The 17943-nt window shown below is 40.3% G+C and overlaps 1 protein-coding gene across 5 annotated transcripts in view; it reads left to right on the forward strand.

Annotated features, from left to right (window-relative positions):
* Positions 1-17943, forward strand: part of PKD2 (polycystin 2, transient receptor potential cation channel) — a 70143-nt gene that overhangs the window by 33184 nt on the left and 19016 nt on the right. For 3 of the 5 annotated variants that reach the window (NM_000297.4, XM_011532029.2, XM_011532030.3), the window contains 5 exons: positions 2415-2639; positions 5824-6052; positions 11173-11340; positions 15268-15449; positions 17165-17285. In NM_000297.4, the coding sequence (NP_000288.1) occupies positions 2415-2639; positions 5824-6052; positions 11173-11340; positions 15268-15449; positions 17165-17285 (925 nt within the window). The remainder of the gene's footprint in view (positions 1-2414; positions 2640-5823; positions 6053-11172; positions 11341-15267; positions 15450-17164; positions 17286-17943) is intronic. The other 2 variants (NR_156488.2, NM_001440544.1) reach the window with 2 other exon arrangements.

A 17943-nucleotide genomic window follows, 5' to 3' on the forward strand; every position in this document is an offset into this window, starting at 1 on the left:
TATTCATATCTCCGTCTTTTCTTTCTTTTCTCTCTTTCCCATGACATTCAGATGGCTTCCACTGACATCTTTATTTGGTGACTCATCATTTCTTCAACAATGTGCCAGGCATGTTCCCATTGCTAGAAGTCCCCCCTCTTCTAGTAGTGCCCTTGATGCTGGAGAAACAAAGCAGCAGGAAACAGAAGAAACGTCCTTTCTTCACAGAGCTTGCATTCTAGTGATACAAGACACATCTCTATTCCACCTGGATGTCCCACACCTCTTGTGATTTAATATGCCCCAAACTAAACTCATCGTTTTCTTATGAGATCTGCTCTTTGTTCTGTTAATGGCACTGCCGTCTTCCTATTGCCCTGAAAGAGACTCCAGAGTCATTTTTGAGCCATGTTTCCTCCTTGCCCCAACTTCCAAATCAGTTACCAAGTTCTGCTGGCAGTCACTGTGGTTACGACACTCTCTCACTCCTTCCTTTCCCTTCCCATCTTCACTGAGTGACTTCAGGCCTCATTACCTCTTGGTTATTGCAGACTTTGCTAAGGGAGCTGTGTCAGGGGTCCCTAAGACCACCCCCAGGTTCAGTGATTCACTAGAAGGACTCAGCATAGAGGCATCCTTACAGCTAAGGTTTATTATGGTGAAAGGATACAAAAGAAAAGGCACATGGCAATATCTGGGGAAAACCTGGTGTAGGCTTCCAGGAGCCCTCTCCCAGTGAGGTCACATAGGATGTGCTGAATTTCTCCAGGAACGAGTTGTAGCAACATGTGTGAAATGTCTATCAGAGAGATTAATTAGAGACTCAGTGCCTGGGGTGTTCACTGGGTACTGGTACTGGTTTATGACTAGCATGTGCCAAAATTCCCGACTCTCAGAAGGAAAGCAGGTGTTGAGTGTAAGCCACATTGCTTATACAAATAGCACAGGCACAGCAAGCCTCTCTTACCGGTCAGGGAAAGTTGAATACTGGTGCAGGGAGCTGTTTATCAGTCAAGTTCCCAGATGCCAGCCAAAGTCCAACCTTGCAAACAGGCCTTCCTAAAGAAAGGCCATCTCAGGCCTGCTGTGTTAACTCTTTTCTGCACATGAGCCCTCTGTTCCTCCCCACTCCAGTCTTCCCTGCTGCCACCAGACCAGCCCTGTTGTGTGCCTCTTAGAACTTTCCCTTCACAGACTCCTTCATGTTTGCCCTTCACAAGCTGACCACAGACCACCTTTCAATCTGCCATTCTTTATCTTATGGGAGCCAAACTGAACTACTTCTTCTCTTGACCAATGGCTCACGGTTGAAAATGCCCTTCCCATTTGTATTAGTCTGGTCTCATGCTGCTGATAAAGACATACCTGAGACTGGGCAATTTACCAAAGAAAGAGGTTTAATGGACTTACAGTTCCACATGGCTGGGGAGGCCTCACAATCATGGTGGAAGGCGAGGAGCAAGTCACGTCTTACGTGGATGGCAGCAGGCAAAGAGAGAGAGCTTGTGCAGGGAAAATCCCACTTATAAAACCATCAGATCTCGTGAGACTTACTCACTATCATGAGACCAGCATGGGAAAGACCTGCCCCCATGATTCAATTACCTCCTACCGGGTTTCTCCAACAAAACATGGGAATTGTGGGAGTTACAATTCAAGATGAGTTTGGTTGGGGACACAGCCAACCCATATGACCATTCACCTGTGCAAGTCCAGATCCTACTCACCTTTCATGGTTCAGGTCCAACACAGCTTCTTCCTAAAGCCTTTTCTAATCCATCCCTCCACTGCCAGATCCCCAAATAAGGACAGCTTTCCTCTGATCTGCCAGCCTTATTTCTTTTCTCTTTTGCTTCTTATTATTATCCACCTTGTATTTTACTTGTTTAATTATAACTCTTATTTCCCTACTTGTTATAAATTTGGGAGGGAAAGGACCTTTATATCCCCATTAGTGCTGAAGAAGCATCTGTTTTCTAAGAGATCCTCTGAATATTTGTGGATGAAATTCCCAAATGCTGACAATGCCACTTGATGAACTTGTCCCTCTTTTGGCTGTAATTTTCTCTGGGGACCTCAAGTCGTCTAGTCCCTGAGCACAGTTACCCAGAGAAGGCAGCCGTATAAACTGAGCAGAGGCTCTAGAGCAGAGCAGAGGCTCTAGGGACAAACAGCCCTGGCATTGGTTCCCGAGTCTGCCCTCAAAAGCTTTGGGACTACATTGACCTCACTAAGCCTCAGGGCCCTCATTCCTAAAGAGGCTAATAACAGTATGAGAATTAACCAAGAAAACATGAACTGCCAGGTCAGGCACAGTACCCAGCTTGATAGGCCTTAATACATACTTTATTTTACAAGGAACCAGCTGTCCTTGTAATTGCCTCAAGTGTTCCACTGATTGTAACTGTTTGTTTTTTGGTTTTGTTTTTAATCAGTTGGATCTACACAAGTGAAAAAGACTTGAATGGTAGTAGCCACTGGGGAATCATTGCAACTTATAGTGGAGCTGGCTATTATCTGGATTTGTCAAGAACAAGAGAGGAAACAGCTGCACAAGTTGCTAGCCTCAAGAAAAATGTCTGGCTGGACCGAGGAACCAGGGCAACTTTTATTGACTTCTCAGTGTACAACGCCAACATTAACCTGTTCTGTGTGGTCAGGTGTGTACTGAGGACATGCATCCCTCCTATTTCTGTGTGGTTGTACATACATCCTATTCTGGGGTTAGCCAGAAAAACCTTTGCCTGCAGTTAGCTACATGAGGATGCCAAGGACCCAGACGGATAGCAAGGGAGGGGTAAAAACTGAAGGCTTACCGAAATAAAGGATATTTGAGGAAGGGAGTTGGGATCCTAGAATATTACGAGTTGGAAAGAACCATAACTCTGGTCCAAGTTCATCTCAATGCTGGAACCTTTCCAGAAAAAGTATTGTGTTTTTCTAACATCTGTCTTTACCCATTATAAGGATGGTTAGTGCCACATGTTCCATCACCAAGTCCCCCGGCCATCAAATCTTGACTCATTTCCTGGAGTTTCTCACTCTCAGATGAGCCTCTGCTATTAGCACACAAGCACAGTAACCGGAGTGCTTGTAGGATGCTCAGTAGGATACCCAGGTTACCTGCTCGTGCTCAGGGCTACCAAAGGCACGTAAAGTTCCTTCCACAGATCCTGGGATGTTGCCATGATGACCCCTCTGTGAGATAGTAACAAAAATGACAAAGATTCCACTGGCTTGTCTGGGACTCTTCTTCATTCATTTATTCAGCAAACATTCATTGGACACTTAATATGGGCTAGGCATTGTTCTCGGCTCTTGGGACATGTCAGCAAACAAAATAAAGATCCGCACCTTGGCAGAGCTTGCATCCAACCAGGAGGAGACTAGAGAATAAACATTAAACAATACAAATAAATAGTATAGTATATTAGAAGGTAATAGGTACTATTAAAAAGAAAGAAAAAGCAGAGCAAGAGGAAGTCAGAGTTCACCCACTTTAATCTTCCTGGTGAGCATGTCAGCAACACCCAAACATCACTAACATGGATTATTGCATGTATATTTACACATAAGATAAGAAGTGTTTATTCTCATAATAGTCTTTGTCATCATTCTTGAGGTTAAGTTCAATTCTGCTTTATGTGGCTTGTTGGATTGTCCCAGTCCTTGTATTTAACAACATTTGCAGAAAATAGTACCACATTAAATCAATTATAGATTATCCCTTATCCAAAATGCTTAAGACCAGAATGTTTGAGATTTAAGAAATTTTTCAGGTTTTGGAATGTCTGCATATATATAATGAGATATCTTGGGGATGGGACCCAAGTCTAAACACAAAATTCATTTATGTTTCATAAATGAAACTTAATGCACATAGCCTGAAGGAAATTTTATTTTTCCCTTAGGGATGTTGAATCAACTGTTGTGTGCCAGCATGTTGACAATGACCTGTCACATGAAGTCGGGTGTGGAATTTTCCACTTGTGCGTTCATGGCGGTGCTCAGAAAGTTTGGGATTTTGAAGCATTTTATATTTCAGATTTTCACATTAGAAATACTCAAGCTGTCCTTGCTCACAGTGGCCAAAAAAAAAGAAAGAAAGAAAAGAAATACTCAACCAGTAGTCCAGTAGTAGTTATCACTAGAAATGAATGAAAATCTATTGCAGTATTATTGAGTTTTTCCTAATTATTCCAGTGCAGATAAAAAGAAAAGAATAAAAAGGAAGAGAATAAAAACAGAGAGGCAACTCTGATATTTTAGTAAATTCTATTTATAGAAGGTCTTGAGTATTTCTTCTGCTTCCTCCCTTACTTTAAGGATGAACATTGTTAAGACAACTGCTTCATTTCTCTATACTGTTTTTCTAAGTTTCTGGAAGTGGTTGACTACTGCAGGGCCAGAATGGGCCAGAGAAATGACTTGACACTTGAAGGCCACTTCCTTCCCTTTTGAGTTCCCAATGAAGCTGTCACATACAAGGCTCTTGGCTTCAGAGTTGCTCTCCTGAGTTTTTGATTCTCACCCCTACTCTCTAACACATCAAATAGGAAAGAAAGAACAGGAGAACTGACAATGAAAAGGAAGGAAAATTTTCACACTTCTCTGACCAGTTCTAATTTACCATAGTCCTGTTTTTACTTGATTATTGCTCATGCATGTGTCCTGTATGCTCAGGTTCCAGGTGCGGCTACCTGTCCTGTAATGGCAGAGATAGTGATGGCTAGTAGCTGACTAAAGGGCTTTTAAATGTCTCAAAATGAAGCAGCTAGAGATTCTATTTCTAGTTAGAAAAGAAGTCTGTATCATTAACTGAATCACCCAGCTTTCTCAGTGTGACACCTACAAAATGGGCATTTGACAAGAAAAAAACCCTCAGTCCAGTTATGGTAAAGCAGTAAAGATCAGAGCCATCAGTATGGATGTAAAATAGTGTATGTTTTAGACAATCAGACATCTATTGAGTACCCACCTATTAACTATAAGGCTCTGGGAAGAAGAGAGAAAACTACCCTGGAGGACAAACTATTTGATGCTATTTAGGTGTTACATAATGAATGAATGACTCAGTTCCTATCTTTATATATGTACAAAATATATCCTACTTCTCAACCAGATTACACATGTTTTGAGTGGATGGTTTATATTTCTTTATATTCTTCATGTTGCCTAGTAGAAGGACTTGAATTTAATAGAAGTCCTAGGGCCAGGCATGGTGGCTCCTTCCTGTAATTCCAGCACTCTGAAAGGCCCAGGCAGGAGGATCATTTGAGCCCAGGAGTTTGAGACCAACCTGGGCAAAAGGGCAAGACTCAGTCTCTGCCAAAAAAAAAAAAATTAGTTGGGCATGGTGCTGCACACTTACATTCCCAGCTACTCAGGAGGCTAAGGCAGGAGAATCCCTTGAGCCCTGGAATTTGAGGCAGCAGTGAGCTATGATTGCAACACTGCACTCCAGCCTGGGCAACAAAGCGAGTCCCTGTCTCTTAAAAAAATAATAACAGAAGTCCTAGAAAAGTTTGTGTGTTGATTTACTTTTACATTAAAAGTATATGGCATGTTGAGCAGCGTAAATATAGAAAAGTGTAGGGAAGACTGAGCAGGAAGTACTCCTTTGGGACTGAAAGACCTCAGGAAGTCTTATTCCTTTGATGGCACAAAATTCTCCAAGTATGGAATTATTAGCTATGATAAAAATGTTTTGCCGCTAGTTTGGGGGGACTCATGGTAGCAGTTTCATTACCTTGTAATGCATGAACAGAACAGATGGACATCCATTCCTGGCTGTATTCATGTGTTGTTGTTGTTATTGTTTTAATTGTTCTTATTTACATGCAGGTTATTGGTTGAATTCCCAGCAACAGGTGGTGTGATTCCATCTTGGCAATTTCAGCCTTTAAAGCTGATCCGATATGTCACAACTTTTGATTTCTTCCTGGCAGCCTGTGAGATTATCTTTTGTTTCTTTATCTTTTACTATGTGGTGGAAGAGATATTGGAAATTCGCATTCACAAACTACACTATTTCAGGAGTTTCTGGAATTGTCTGGATGTTGTGATCGTTGTGGTAGGTTTGAGAACAACACCAAATTTCCTATTCTATTCTACAAGCATGTTAACTAGAGTCTTTGATCTCCTCAGCATTGTGGATCTTGATATTCCCAAAAAAGAATCTAAAAGTCCCCCTCAATTATATCAACTTCTGTTACTAATTATTTTCTCATTTTGCATGAGTAACTTTGCTGAGTATGAAGTGGAGAGGTATTTACAGTATGCTCTCAGCCACGCTAATAACAAGAGTATCTCAGTAATTCATATTTGGCTTTAGTATGCCGTATGAGATGTGGAGGAGAAAACAGTTTTTTTTCTTTGTTTTTTTTTCCACTAATGATATTTTTCTTCAACTGCTGGTAAAAATCAATTTATATTTTCCTGCACATGTGTGAAGTTACAGCAATAAAAAAACTTGTCGGCCAGGTGTGGTAGCTCATGCCTGTAATCCCAGCACTTGGGGAGGCCAAGGCAGGAGGATCACTTAAGCCCCAGAGTTCAAGCCCAGCCAGGGTAACATAGTGAGACCCTGTCTTTACAAAAAAAAAAAAATTTAATTAGTCAGGCATGGTGGCACACACCTGTAGTCTCAGCTATTCCAGAGGCCGAAGTGGGAGGATCATTTGAGCCCAGGAGGCTGAGGCTGCAGTGAGCTATAAATGCACCACTGCACTGCAGCCTGGGTGACAGAGTGAGACCTTGCCTCAAAAAGAAAAGAAAAAAGAAAAATCATCCTGAAAATATTTTGTGCGGCAGAGAAAACTTTCTGCAGTTTAAAATTTTCTGCAAATAGTCTGCAGAGTACAAATGTAAGTTATATTCATCAAAGTTTTCTGTATGAGGTATAAGAAATCAAAGGCAGGCCATGCACAGTGGCTCATACCTATAATCCCTGCACTTTAGGGAACTGAGGTGGGAGGATCACTTGAGATCAGGAGTTTGATACCAGCCTGGGCAACATAGTGAGACCCCATCTCTAAAAAATAAAAATAAAAAATAAATCAAAGGCAGAGTCATAATCAAGACCATGACACCATGTAAATTCTGTGTCTGCTCTTGACTCTATTATAACTTCTAAGATTTTTTTCAAGATGTTTTCCCTTCATCCTTATCACTTAATTAAGCATCCGTCACTTCCTTCCTGTGGTTTCAGTGTATAAAAGAATTTTTACAAGCTTTTCTCCCTTCAGCAATAACAGGTAACATTTCGCTAAGTCCAGTTGTACATTTAAGCATATAACAACATGCTTAATTATTAGATGCTTACAAGCTTTGCTTGGCATAGGTGTACCATGTATTATTCTATGTCTTTCCTTCCCACTGTCCTATGATAGCCATTACCTTCTGAAATCTCAGTAAATGATGCACTACCCTATTAGCATTCTCTCTTCTGTTAGCCCTCCTTATGAGAGTTATTCTTTCCCTCATCCCACTCCTAAAAATTCATTTGGCCTTTGTGGAGTATTTAGATCAAGTCATTATTAAACTATTCCCCACTAGAATTATTAATAGTTGATAAAATATGGAAAATATATTATTCATATGTGAGTGAAAGAACACTTAAAGCATAAAAAAGAACTACATGGCCATATATTGCATGGCAATAACTATATTAGCAGCAATAATAATTGTAATAGTAATAATAATAATGGCTAACACTTTAGAAGCTTCTGTGTTAGGCATTTCCGGGTGCTTTTCATGGTACAGAAGCTCATTTGTTCCTCATACTAACCCTCTTCACTACTCTGCCACTGCCTCTCAAGCCATGGATATGTGCACTTTAGAGTTTTTACTTAAAGTAAAAATTCCTGTAGAATAGATGGTGTTGACCCCATCAGACCGTGATGCAGTTAGAAGTGCATCCCGTCTTTTACGATGGCCATACAACATCACACAAATCAAGGTAAACCCTTGATCCCCAAATTCTCAATGTATTAATAATGAACAGAGTTACACAAGAATTTTAGCATTTAAGGAAACAGGAGAGACGATAATACTGGAAATAATTTTTCAGAATATTTCTGTTCGGATTGATGGCAGAGTGCAGGCCATATACATTGACAATTATTCCAGAACACAATTATTGTTTGGAGCTAAAAGGATGCAAACCCTGCCTCTTGGCTTATATGGATTTATTTATGTTTAGGCCATTGAAATAATGGTAGAAAGGTAAGTATGATATGCTAATTAAGAACAGACTTCCTTTTTATATTTTAACCAAAGAACTCAATATCAACAAAAGACTAGTCAGTGGTATTCACCCTTTTTGATCATACACACCTATCAGTGAAAGCTTTGACTACTACACACCCTAATTTATTATCTTTATTTGTAAATTGTGTGCCTACTTTGGTGTAACAGGTACATCCGTAAAACATACACATACATAGAATTTTAAAGATTGGAATAAAAGTTAATACAAATAGAATTCCAAAACTTTCTTACCACCTACCTAGAAGTTGTAACATTTTCTTCCCATAGCCCAGTGAATTGCCTTGCACCTGCTTTGGCGACCAATAGGAAGAAAGGCAATGATATCATGGAAATTGTCTCTTTGGCTCAACAGCCACAGCATTTTGCAAGTGTTTCTTTGAAAACTTGCTTCACTGTGTTTTTCAATTTTTTTTTTAAACAACACTTAATACTGCCAGACAACAATTCAGACAGTGTGCTTTTTGTTTATAAAGAACAAGGAAGGGCTACTGGAATCTCACTTGTCCTTTGAAACTTTTGCTGACCAAGTGTAGAAGTGAGGGCATGCCTTCTGCTCACCCACAAAACACACCCTGTGCTCCACTGGACCTTCAAACCAGTGGAAAGACCCAACGCTTTTTGTTTTATCTAGCCAAAATTTGCTTATGCTTACCCAAAACCTGAAAAGAAATTATATTCTTAATATAAATACAATCACATCTTGAAATCACTTTGAAATTTTCTTTATTTTCCTTTTTTCTTTCCCCAACATATGTTCTGAAGTACACAGGCTGCATCAGTCAGCCATTTGTCCTGAGCAATAGTCTTTCAAAACTAGAAGAATTACTTGAAAAAAAGAAGACTATTAAGGAATTTAAACTCAAATAATTTATTGACCACTTGCTAGGTTGTACAGGGTAAATTTTTTTTTTTTTTTTTTTTTTTGAGATGGAGTCTTGCTCTGTCACCCAGACTGGAGTACAGTGGCACCATCTCGGCTCACTGCAAGCTCTGCCTCCCGGGTTCACGCCATTCTCCCTCCTCAGCCTCCTGAGTAGCTGGGACTACAGGTGCCTGCCACCATGCCCAGCTAATTTTTTGTATTTTTAGTAGAGACAGGGTTTCACCGAGTTAGCCAGGATGGTCTCGATCTCCTGACCTCGTGATCCGCCCACCTCAGCCTCCCAAAGTGCTGGGATTACAGGCGTGAACCACCGCGCCTGGCCCGACTAATTCATTTATTCAGCGAGTGTTTTCTGAGCACCTACTATGTACTTGCCACTGTTCTAGGCACTGGGGATACAGGAATGAACAAAATCACCCAAATCTCTGCCCTCCCAATTTTCTGGTATGGAGAGAAAGTTCTTTTGTAGATAGGGATGAGAATCCCACAGAAAACTCAGGAGTGATGTAACAATGCAAATGCTCACAAAATCTCTTTCCTCATCTTTCATTCCCTATTTGGAAGGAAAGGTTTCAAAGACATTGATGTTGTATAAATGACCATCTTCTTCATTATTTTATAAACATTTGTCCTGTGCAGAGTAAAAACAACTGGACTGCATAACAAATTATACCTATTGAGAGTTGGGTAAAGAGTTACCATTGGATCCAGTCCACCAACCCAAATGTTTTTCTACATGTATTAGCTGAGATGAGCTCCTCATCTCAGGAGAAGCCTATTCCCACTGCAGGCCTTCTTGAGTCTGCTGTGTTCATCATTCCCACCACCAACACAAAAATACAAGATTGGCTCTGGAAATCCTTCACAGAGAAGGAAGGAAAGGAAGATGGTGAGGTTGGCTTTTTAGCTGTGATCAGCAACCAAGCTGGTCTTTGCTATGAGAATCAGTGGGACCATGATCTCTATGGTCATCTCAGGAAGGGAGGGCTAATGAAGTGGTCTCTGGCCATGATTCCTAAGAAGAGAGAATGGACAGCAAAGATCGCAGCACCTGCCACAGCCCACCTGCTGCAGATTCAGACCCCCTGGTGGGGCCAGGTTGTTATGACTAACCCCTAGCACTGTCTACATTTAGTGGTGATGGATGCCAAGGAGGGGGCAGTGTCCCCTTGGATCTGATTGTAAAGCTTAGAACCAAAGCATATGTGGAAAGTTGTAGGGTCATGAGTTAAGGGACAGAAATGAGCAAGAGAGAAGCCCTTGGCTCATATATTCCCACTGCAGGCCTTCTTGAGCCCTCTGTATTCATCATTCCCACTGTCTTTCAAGCCCAAGCTCATGCTTTGTTCTCATGGGCACTCATTTTTAGGATATCTTTTGTCCCTCTTGACTTTATGTTGTGTGATACCAACTCTTTAGTAGTTTTTTGTATTATTTAACTTCATGTGTTTATCTGCTCTTGAGTCTCGAGGGCAGGATTTATGCAGTTTACTTCTGTTTATTCCTCTTAGCCCTTGCACAGTGCTGTATACATAGACATCTACTATATTTTTGTTAAACAGAGCAAAGAATGGCTGGCAATTGGAGAATGCAGAGAAACCGAAAAATTTTAAATTTAAAAATCACAAATAAAAACAGCAGGATGAAGGCAAGAAAGCAAAAGGGTGGAAAGTGATTAAAATGAAGGTGGCAGAAAAAACAGAAAGCATTCCTCTTTGAGTTTGAGTCTGTTATAGTGTGATCTCTTCTGTGTATGCATGTATGTGTGTGTAATGTATATGTGCACACACATGCATGCATGCCTTCGTTGAGTTTCTATTCCGAACTAAGGAAATGCAAGCAATATACTGTTTTACTTATTTTATGGCAGGGCTTAACACTTTCCATTTGAGTGAGTGACTTTTAAGAATGACATCGGGTAAGTATAATGGTGAGCCCTTATAATTAATACATTGGTGAAGAAAAATATACTAGTCATATTAAGGTAAGTTTCATATTTCTAAAACACTGTAATAAAATATAAATATTTTGCTTTTCAGCTGTCAGTGGTAGCTATAGGAATTAACATATACAGAACATCAAATGTGGAGGTGCTACTACAGTTTCTGGAAGATCAAAATACTTTCCCCAACTTTGAGCATCTGGCATATTGGCAGATACAGTTCAACAATATAGCTGCTGTCACAGTATTTTTTGTCTGGATTAAGGTAATTTATAAATTTCATGTTCTACATTTTAAATAATATTTTCTTTAAAAAAAATGAGTTCCACAAAATCATGGAATACTTGAATTTGAAATTCAAGTGACCAGCCAAAGCTGCTCAATATTTACTTTGAGACAGGGTCTCACTCTGTCACCCAGGCTGGAGTGCAGTGGTATGATTACAGCTCATTGCAGCCTCGACTTCCCAGGCCCAAGCGATCCTCCCACCTTATCCTCCGAAGTCACTGGGACTACAGGCATGTGCCACCATACCCGGCTAATTTTTAAATTTTTTCGTAGAGACAAGGTCTCATTATGTTGCCCAGGCTGGTTTTGAACTCCTGGGTTCAAGCAATCCTCCCACCTCAGCCTCCCAAAGTGCTGGGATTACAGGCATGAGCCACCGTGCCAGGCCTCATATTTTACATATAAAGTAAACTATTGAGACTCATGTGATCATTCCTCTCACTGTCAATGACATACTTCTGCTATCTGAATTAGTGCAAGATCAGTCCCTATAGGTTTTGTTTAACAAATGCAGTAAGAGGCCTTTCAGTGTGTTAGCTGGGCCTGGGGCCCCAGGCTGCTAACAGATGAGATGAACAGGTGAAGGAAAAGGAACTTAGAGAAAGAGAGGGAAGGAGCAGGTGGAGGGAAGGGGAGAGTTGCTGCACTTGGAAATGCTTGCTAGAAGGGATCGCCTCTTTTCCAGGTAGAGGCTGTAAGGGAAGCTTTACCTAGAATTAAGGTTGGAACAGACACTGCTTCCAAATAGTTCCTTGCTCACTATTTTCCTTATTGTCCCAAGATATAATGTGCATTTCCATGTGTGTGAAAGGTTATGACATTTCATATACAACAAGCCTCAATTCTGGAGATGCAGGAAATTTCAATAATTCTCAGGCAGCAGCTGCCATTCGGTCACCAGCACAGGCTCTGATTGTGCTGTCCAGACAGTAAGTACTAGCCACATGTGCCTATTTAAATTCAAATTTAAATTAGTTAAGCTTAAATACAATTAAAAACGCAGTTCCTTGGTCCTACTGGCCACACATTAAGTGTTCAATGGCTACTGTCTAGGACAGTGGAAATGTAGAACATTTCCATCATCACAGAACGTTCTCTTGAAAAGCACTGTTCTGGAAGGTACTTACCCGTTATGTACTTTTCTGAGTTGGTATTCATACCTAGAAGACCTGAGGTTTATCACAAGACATAGACTTGGACCAGGCGCAGTGGCTCATGCCTGTAATTCCAGCATTTTGGGAGGCCGAGATAGGTCCCCTGAGCCCAGGAGTCTGATACCAGCCTGGGCAACATGGCAAAACCTCATCTCTACTAAAAATACAAAAATTAGCTGGGGGTGGTGGCACGTGCCTGTAGTCCTAGCTACTTAGGAGGCTTAGGCGGGAGGATTGCTTGAATCCAGAAGGCGGAGGGTGCAGTGAGCCAAGATCGCACCGCTGCACTCCAGCCTGGGCAACAGAGTGAGACCCTGTCTCAAAAAAAAAAAAAAAATGCATAGACTTTATCCTGTATTTCTCATGCTATTTATTTATTGACATGCTTGTTCAAGAGAAACCATCACTAAAGCACAAAACCTTGATCATAACATAGTAATAATAATCAAACAGCAAAAATAATAATAGTAATAAGAATGTTCTGTGGTGATGGAAATGTTCTATATTTTCATTGTCCTAGACAGTAGCCACTAACCATGTATAGGCATGGAACACTTAACATGTGGCTAGTAGGACCAAGGGACTGAATTTTTAATTGTATTTAATCTTACTTAATTTAAATTTGAATTTAGATATCCACACATGTTTGGATAGCACAGTCAGAGCCTGTGCTGGTGAAAGGATGGCAGGTGCTGCCTGAGAATTACTGAAGTTTCCTTGATTATTATTAGTTTAATAATAATAATCAAGATAGTAATAATAATCAAGATAGTAATAATAATCAAGATCTCAGCTGGGCACAGTGGCTCACGCACTTTGGGAGGCTGAGGCGGGCAGATCACCTGACGTCGGGTTTGAGACCAGCCTGGCCAACATGGTGAAACCCTGTCCCTACTAAAAATACAAAAAAAAAAAATTAGCTGGGTGTGGTGGCACGTGCCTATGATCCCAGCTACTTGGGAATCTGAGGCAGGAGAATTGCTTGAACCCAGGAAGCAGAGGTTGCGGTGAGCTGAATCATGCCACTGCACTCCAGCCTGGGCAACAGAGCAGCACTTCGTCTCAAAAAAAAAAAAAAAAGATCTCAAATGAATTGGGATTGTATTAAGTAATGATTAAGTAATGTGATTACAGCAATCCTCAAGAAATATTTCACTGTGGCCAGTAACAATGTGTAACAGACCTTTAAACTTCTAGAGATTTTCCTACAACATGTGTCTCAGGCTGATGTGTTTTATTTAGTGCTTCTCTTGGAAATGTCTTGCCCCTCGATACTTTATCATTAAGGTCTTTAAGGCAGGGATCATGACTCTACTTTTTTTTTTTTTTTTTTTTTTGGGACGGAGTCTTGCTCTGTCGCCCAGGCTGGAGTGCAGTGGCACAATCTTAGCTCACTGCAACCTCCGTCTCCTGGGTTCACGCCATTCTCCTGCCTCAGCCTCCCGAGTAGCTGGGACTACAGGCGGCTGCCACCACGCCCGGCTAATTTTTTATATTTTTAGTAGAGACGGGGTTTCACCGTGTTAGCCAGGATGGTCTCGATCTCCTGACCTCGTGATCCACCCACCTCGGCCTCCCAAAGTGCTGGGATTACAGGCTTGAGCCACCACGCCCGGCCTCATGACTCTACTTCTAATATCTCATCATGTGCTCTTCCACTGAGGCTTCTACTTAGAGCTACACAATCTGGGCAGCCATCCTCAGTGCCTTATCTACCAACATGCTCAATATGGCTTTGCAGGGTTCACTGTCTACCAGCAGGGTTCACTATCTACCAACATGCTCAATATTTCTTTGCAGTCAGGCAGAGCAGGCTTTGCAGTTCAGGCAGGGCAGCTGGCTGCAGGCCCCAGCTGACTCCTGGGGATAGAATGCCAATATTTCAGACATTGCAGAGATTTGAGGCAATGTACATAAAGCCCTCCACATATAACTGATGCACAATAAATGACAGTTAATATTATGCAACAAGAATTTCCTGGGGGGTTTTATAATTAATTTTTATTTGTGTGAAGTTTTTTCCCTCCCTTTTACTTTAATCCTTTTTGGGGGGAAAGCATCACTAGTCACAGTTCACGGCAGCCTCGACCTCCCAGGCTCAAGCAACCCTCCCACCTCAGCCTCCTGAGTAGCTGAAACCACAGGTGTGTGCCACCACACCTGACTAATTTATTTTTATTTTCTAATGAAACAGAATCTTGCCATATTGCCCAGGCTGATCTTAAACTCATGGGCTCAAGCGATCCTCCTGCCTCAGTCTTCCAAAGTGCCGGGATTATAGATGTGAGCCACTGCACTCAGCCTTTTTTTTTTTTTTTTTAATTGTAGATAGCATAAAACCTACTGTTTTAACCATGCTTAAGTGTACAATTCAGTGGCATTAAGTACATTCACAGTGTTGTGCAGCCATCGCCATTATGCTGCATTATTTTCAGAACTTTTTCATTATTCTAAACTGAAACTTTGTATCCATTGAACACTAACTCCCAATTCCCCCAGTCCCTGGTAACCTCCATTCTACTTTCTGTCACTGTGAGTTTGACTATTCTAAGTACCTAATTTAAGTGGAATCATACAGTATTTGTCCTTTTGTGTCAGGCTTATTTCACTTTGCATGATGTTTTCAAGGTTCATCCATGTTGTAACCTGTCAGAATTTAATTTCTTTTCAGGATGAAATAATGTTTTATTATATACAGTCACACCATTTTGTTTATCCATTCATCTATTGATGTCTTCTCTCTCTTACAGCTCTTCAAATTCATCAATTTTAACAGGACCATGAGCCAGCTCTCGACAACCATGTCTCGATGTGCCAAAGACCTGTTTGGCTTTGCTATTATGTTCTTCATTATTTTCCTAGCGTATGCTCAGTTGGCATACCTTGTCTTTGGCACTCAGGTCGATGACTTCAGTACTTTCCAAGAGTGTATGTAAGTATATATGAAATTAAGAAGAAAAATTTAATCAGAGTTGTCACTGCTTCTCAAGAATAAATCTTCATATGAGGTTGCTATATGACCACCAATTATTTAAAACCAGTTATTTTAAGTAAGAATTAATTACCTTTTCCCAAAACATTGATCTACCCATGCAAAGAAGACAATGCATCCTGAAATGCTGATGCTTAAGATAGCAGCCCAAAGTAGTAAAATACAGTTAACAGACATAGGAAACCAACACTGTTCTGAAGACTGAGTTTTTCTTTGCACCAAATGCAGATGGTAGCTTCTAGAAGGCTGTTTGCCTATATTCTTACTCCTGTTGAATATTGTTGCCATATATTTAGAACTTCAAGTTATTTTCTAAGGAAAAAAACAAGATATTTCTAATATTCTAAGGTAAACTCAGACCAGTACAAGAATTTTCAGTTTTTTTTTCCAAAGATCCCAAATGTGAAATAAAACAACAAAAAGCAGCCAGTGTCAGATTTCTATGCCATTTAGAAAGGAGTTAGTTTAAAAAGGAATGGAAGTAATAGGGTTTTGTGCATAGATATCTCGAATTAATATTGCTGTTGATAAAAGTGATTTTGCTAAGACCCAGCACTGACAACACTTGGCCACTTTGATCCCATTTTAAGTACTTGTCAGAATATTGGATCTTTGAACTCAAACCATTTTGGGTTTTTGGGGTTTTTTTGTTTTGTTTTTTTTTGTTTTGTTTTGTTTTTGAGGCACGGTCTTGCTCTGTTGCCCAGGCTGGAGTGCAGTGGTGCAATCATAGCTCACTGCAGCCTTGAACTCCTAGGCTCAAGCAATCCTGCTGCCTCAGCCTGCTGAGTAGCTGGGACTACAAGTGTATGCCACCATGCCTGGCCAATTTTTAACTTTTTTTATGAGAAGGGATCTCACTGTGTAGCCCAGGGTGGTATTGAACTCCAGGGCCTCACACTGTCCTCTCACCTCAGCTTCCAAAAGTACTGGGATTACAGGCATGAGCCACCACACCAGGCCCTGTTGTTTTTTTTTTAAAGAAATTTTTAACTTTAGACCGAGGGTGACTGTTGTCAAGGTTTAGGGTTAAGATGTTTTACCTAGATTATGTGTTGAAATGTTATAGCCAATTGCTTTATAAGTTATTGAATAATAATTGTATTTTCTTTTTTTTTTTTTTTTTGAGATGGAGTCTCGTTCCATCGCCCAAGCTAGAGTGCAGCGGTGTAATCTCAGCTCACTGCAACCTCTGCCTCCCGGGTTCAAGCGATTCTCCTGCCTCAGCCTCCCGAATAGCTGAGATTATGGGCGCACGCCACCAAGCCCAGCTAATTTTTGTATTTTTAGTAGAGACGGGGTTTCACTATATTGGCCAGGCTGTTCTCGAACTCCTGACCTCGTGATCCGCCCGCCTCGGCCTCCCAAAGTGCTGGGATTACAGACGTGATCCACCGTGCCCAGCTTGTGTTTTCTTTTTAACCAAATGGAAATAACCTCTGTAGCATGAAAGCATTTTATTATTATTGCAGAAGGCTTTAATTGCTGATACAAGTAGCAAGACTTTGTAAATGGGATTGACAATTTTCTGTTATTCGGCAGCTACCTATACTGCTAAAAGGTCCAAAAATAATGAAATCATCTTTAAGAAATGTTGCATCAACTAGTGGACATTCTTTGTTTTTGTATTGTGGTGTTTTGTTTTATTTTTATAGCTTCACTCAATTCCGTATCATTTTGGGCGATATCAACTTTGCAGAGATTGAGGAAGCTAATCGAGTTTTGGGACCAATTTATTTCACTACATTTGTGTTCTTTATGTTCTTCATTCTTTTGGTATGTACATTTTTATTTATAGTGAGGTTCAATTTAAACTTCGTAAATCCTTGTCTTCTCTTTTCTCTCACACTTTATGTCCTATCAATTTTAAATAAAGACCCAGGAAGTAGAAAAAAGTGTGGATGTTGGAAAACTTATTTTCCTTTTATTAATTCACAGTTTTGAGACTCATATCAAATGTCTTTTCTGTGGTCTTTCATTGATCCATGTATATGTGTCTATTCAATGCAAAAAAAATTAGATCTCTTCCATGGTCTTTCATTTCTCTCTCTATATATGTATCTATTCCATGCAAAAAAGAAATTAGATCAAGTACAAATTTATAAAGATACCTAAAATAGTGCTTTGCCTAAAAAGTAGAATATGCTTACATGCTTTTTAAACTCATATGTCAGCACTTTCGTAGTCACTTGCTAGCATGACTTTTCTCTCTTTCTTCTTTTCTTTTTAAAAAATAAGAACGGAAAAGCAAGCTAGATCTAAGATGTCGAGTAATAGTTGAGTGAATCATTGCATGTCAAAATTAGGATATTCTGTTTTAAATTATTTATATCCCATTCATCTAGAGACTGCCTACAGAGAATATTCAAATAATTAAGTTTAAAACTAAATGTAACAATGAATGGAAATTGCATTAAAATTATTTTCAAAAATA

This window comes from Homo sapiens, chromosome 4, assembly GCF_000001405.40.
Source record: "Homo sapiens chromosome 4, GRCh38.p14 Primary Assembly".
Taxonomy (NCBI): domain Eukaryota; kingdom Metazoa; phylum Chordata; class Mammalia; order Primates; family Hominidae; genus Homo; species Homo sapiens.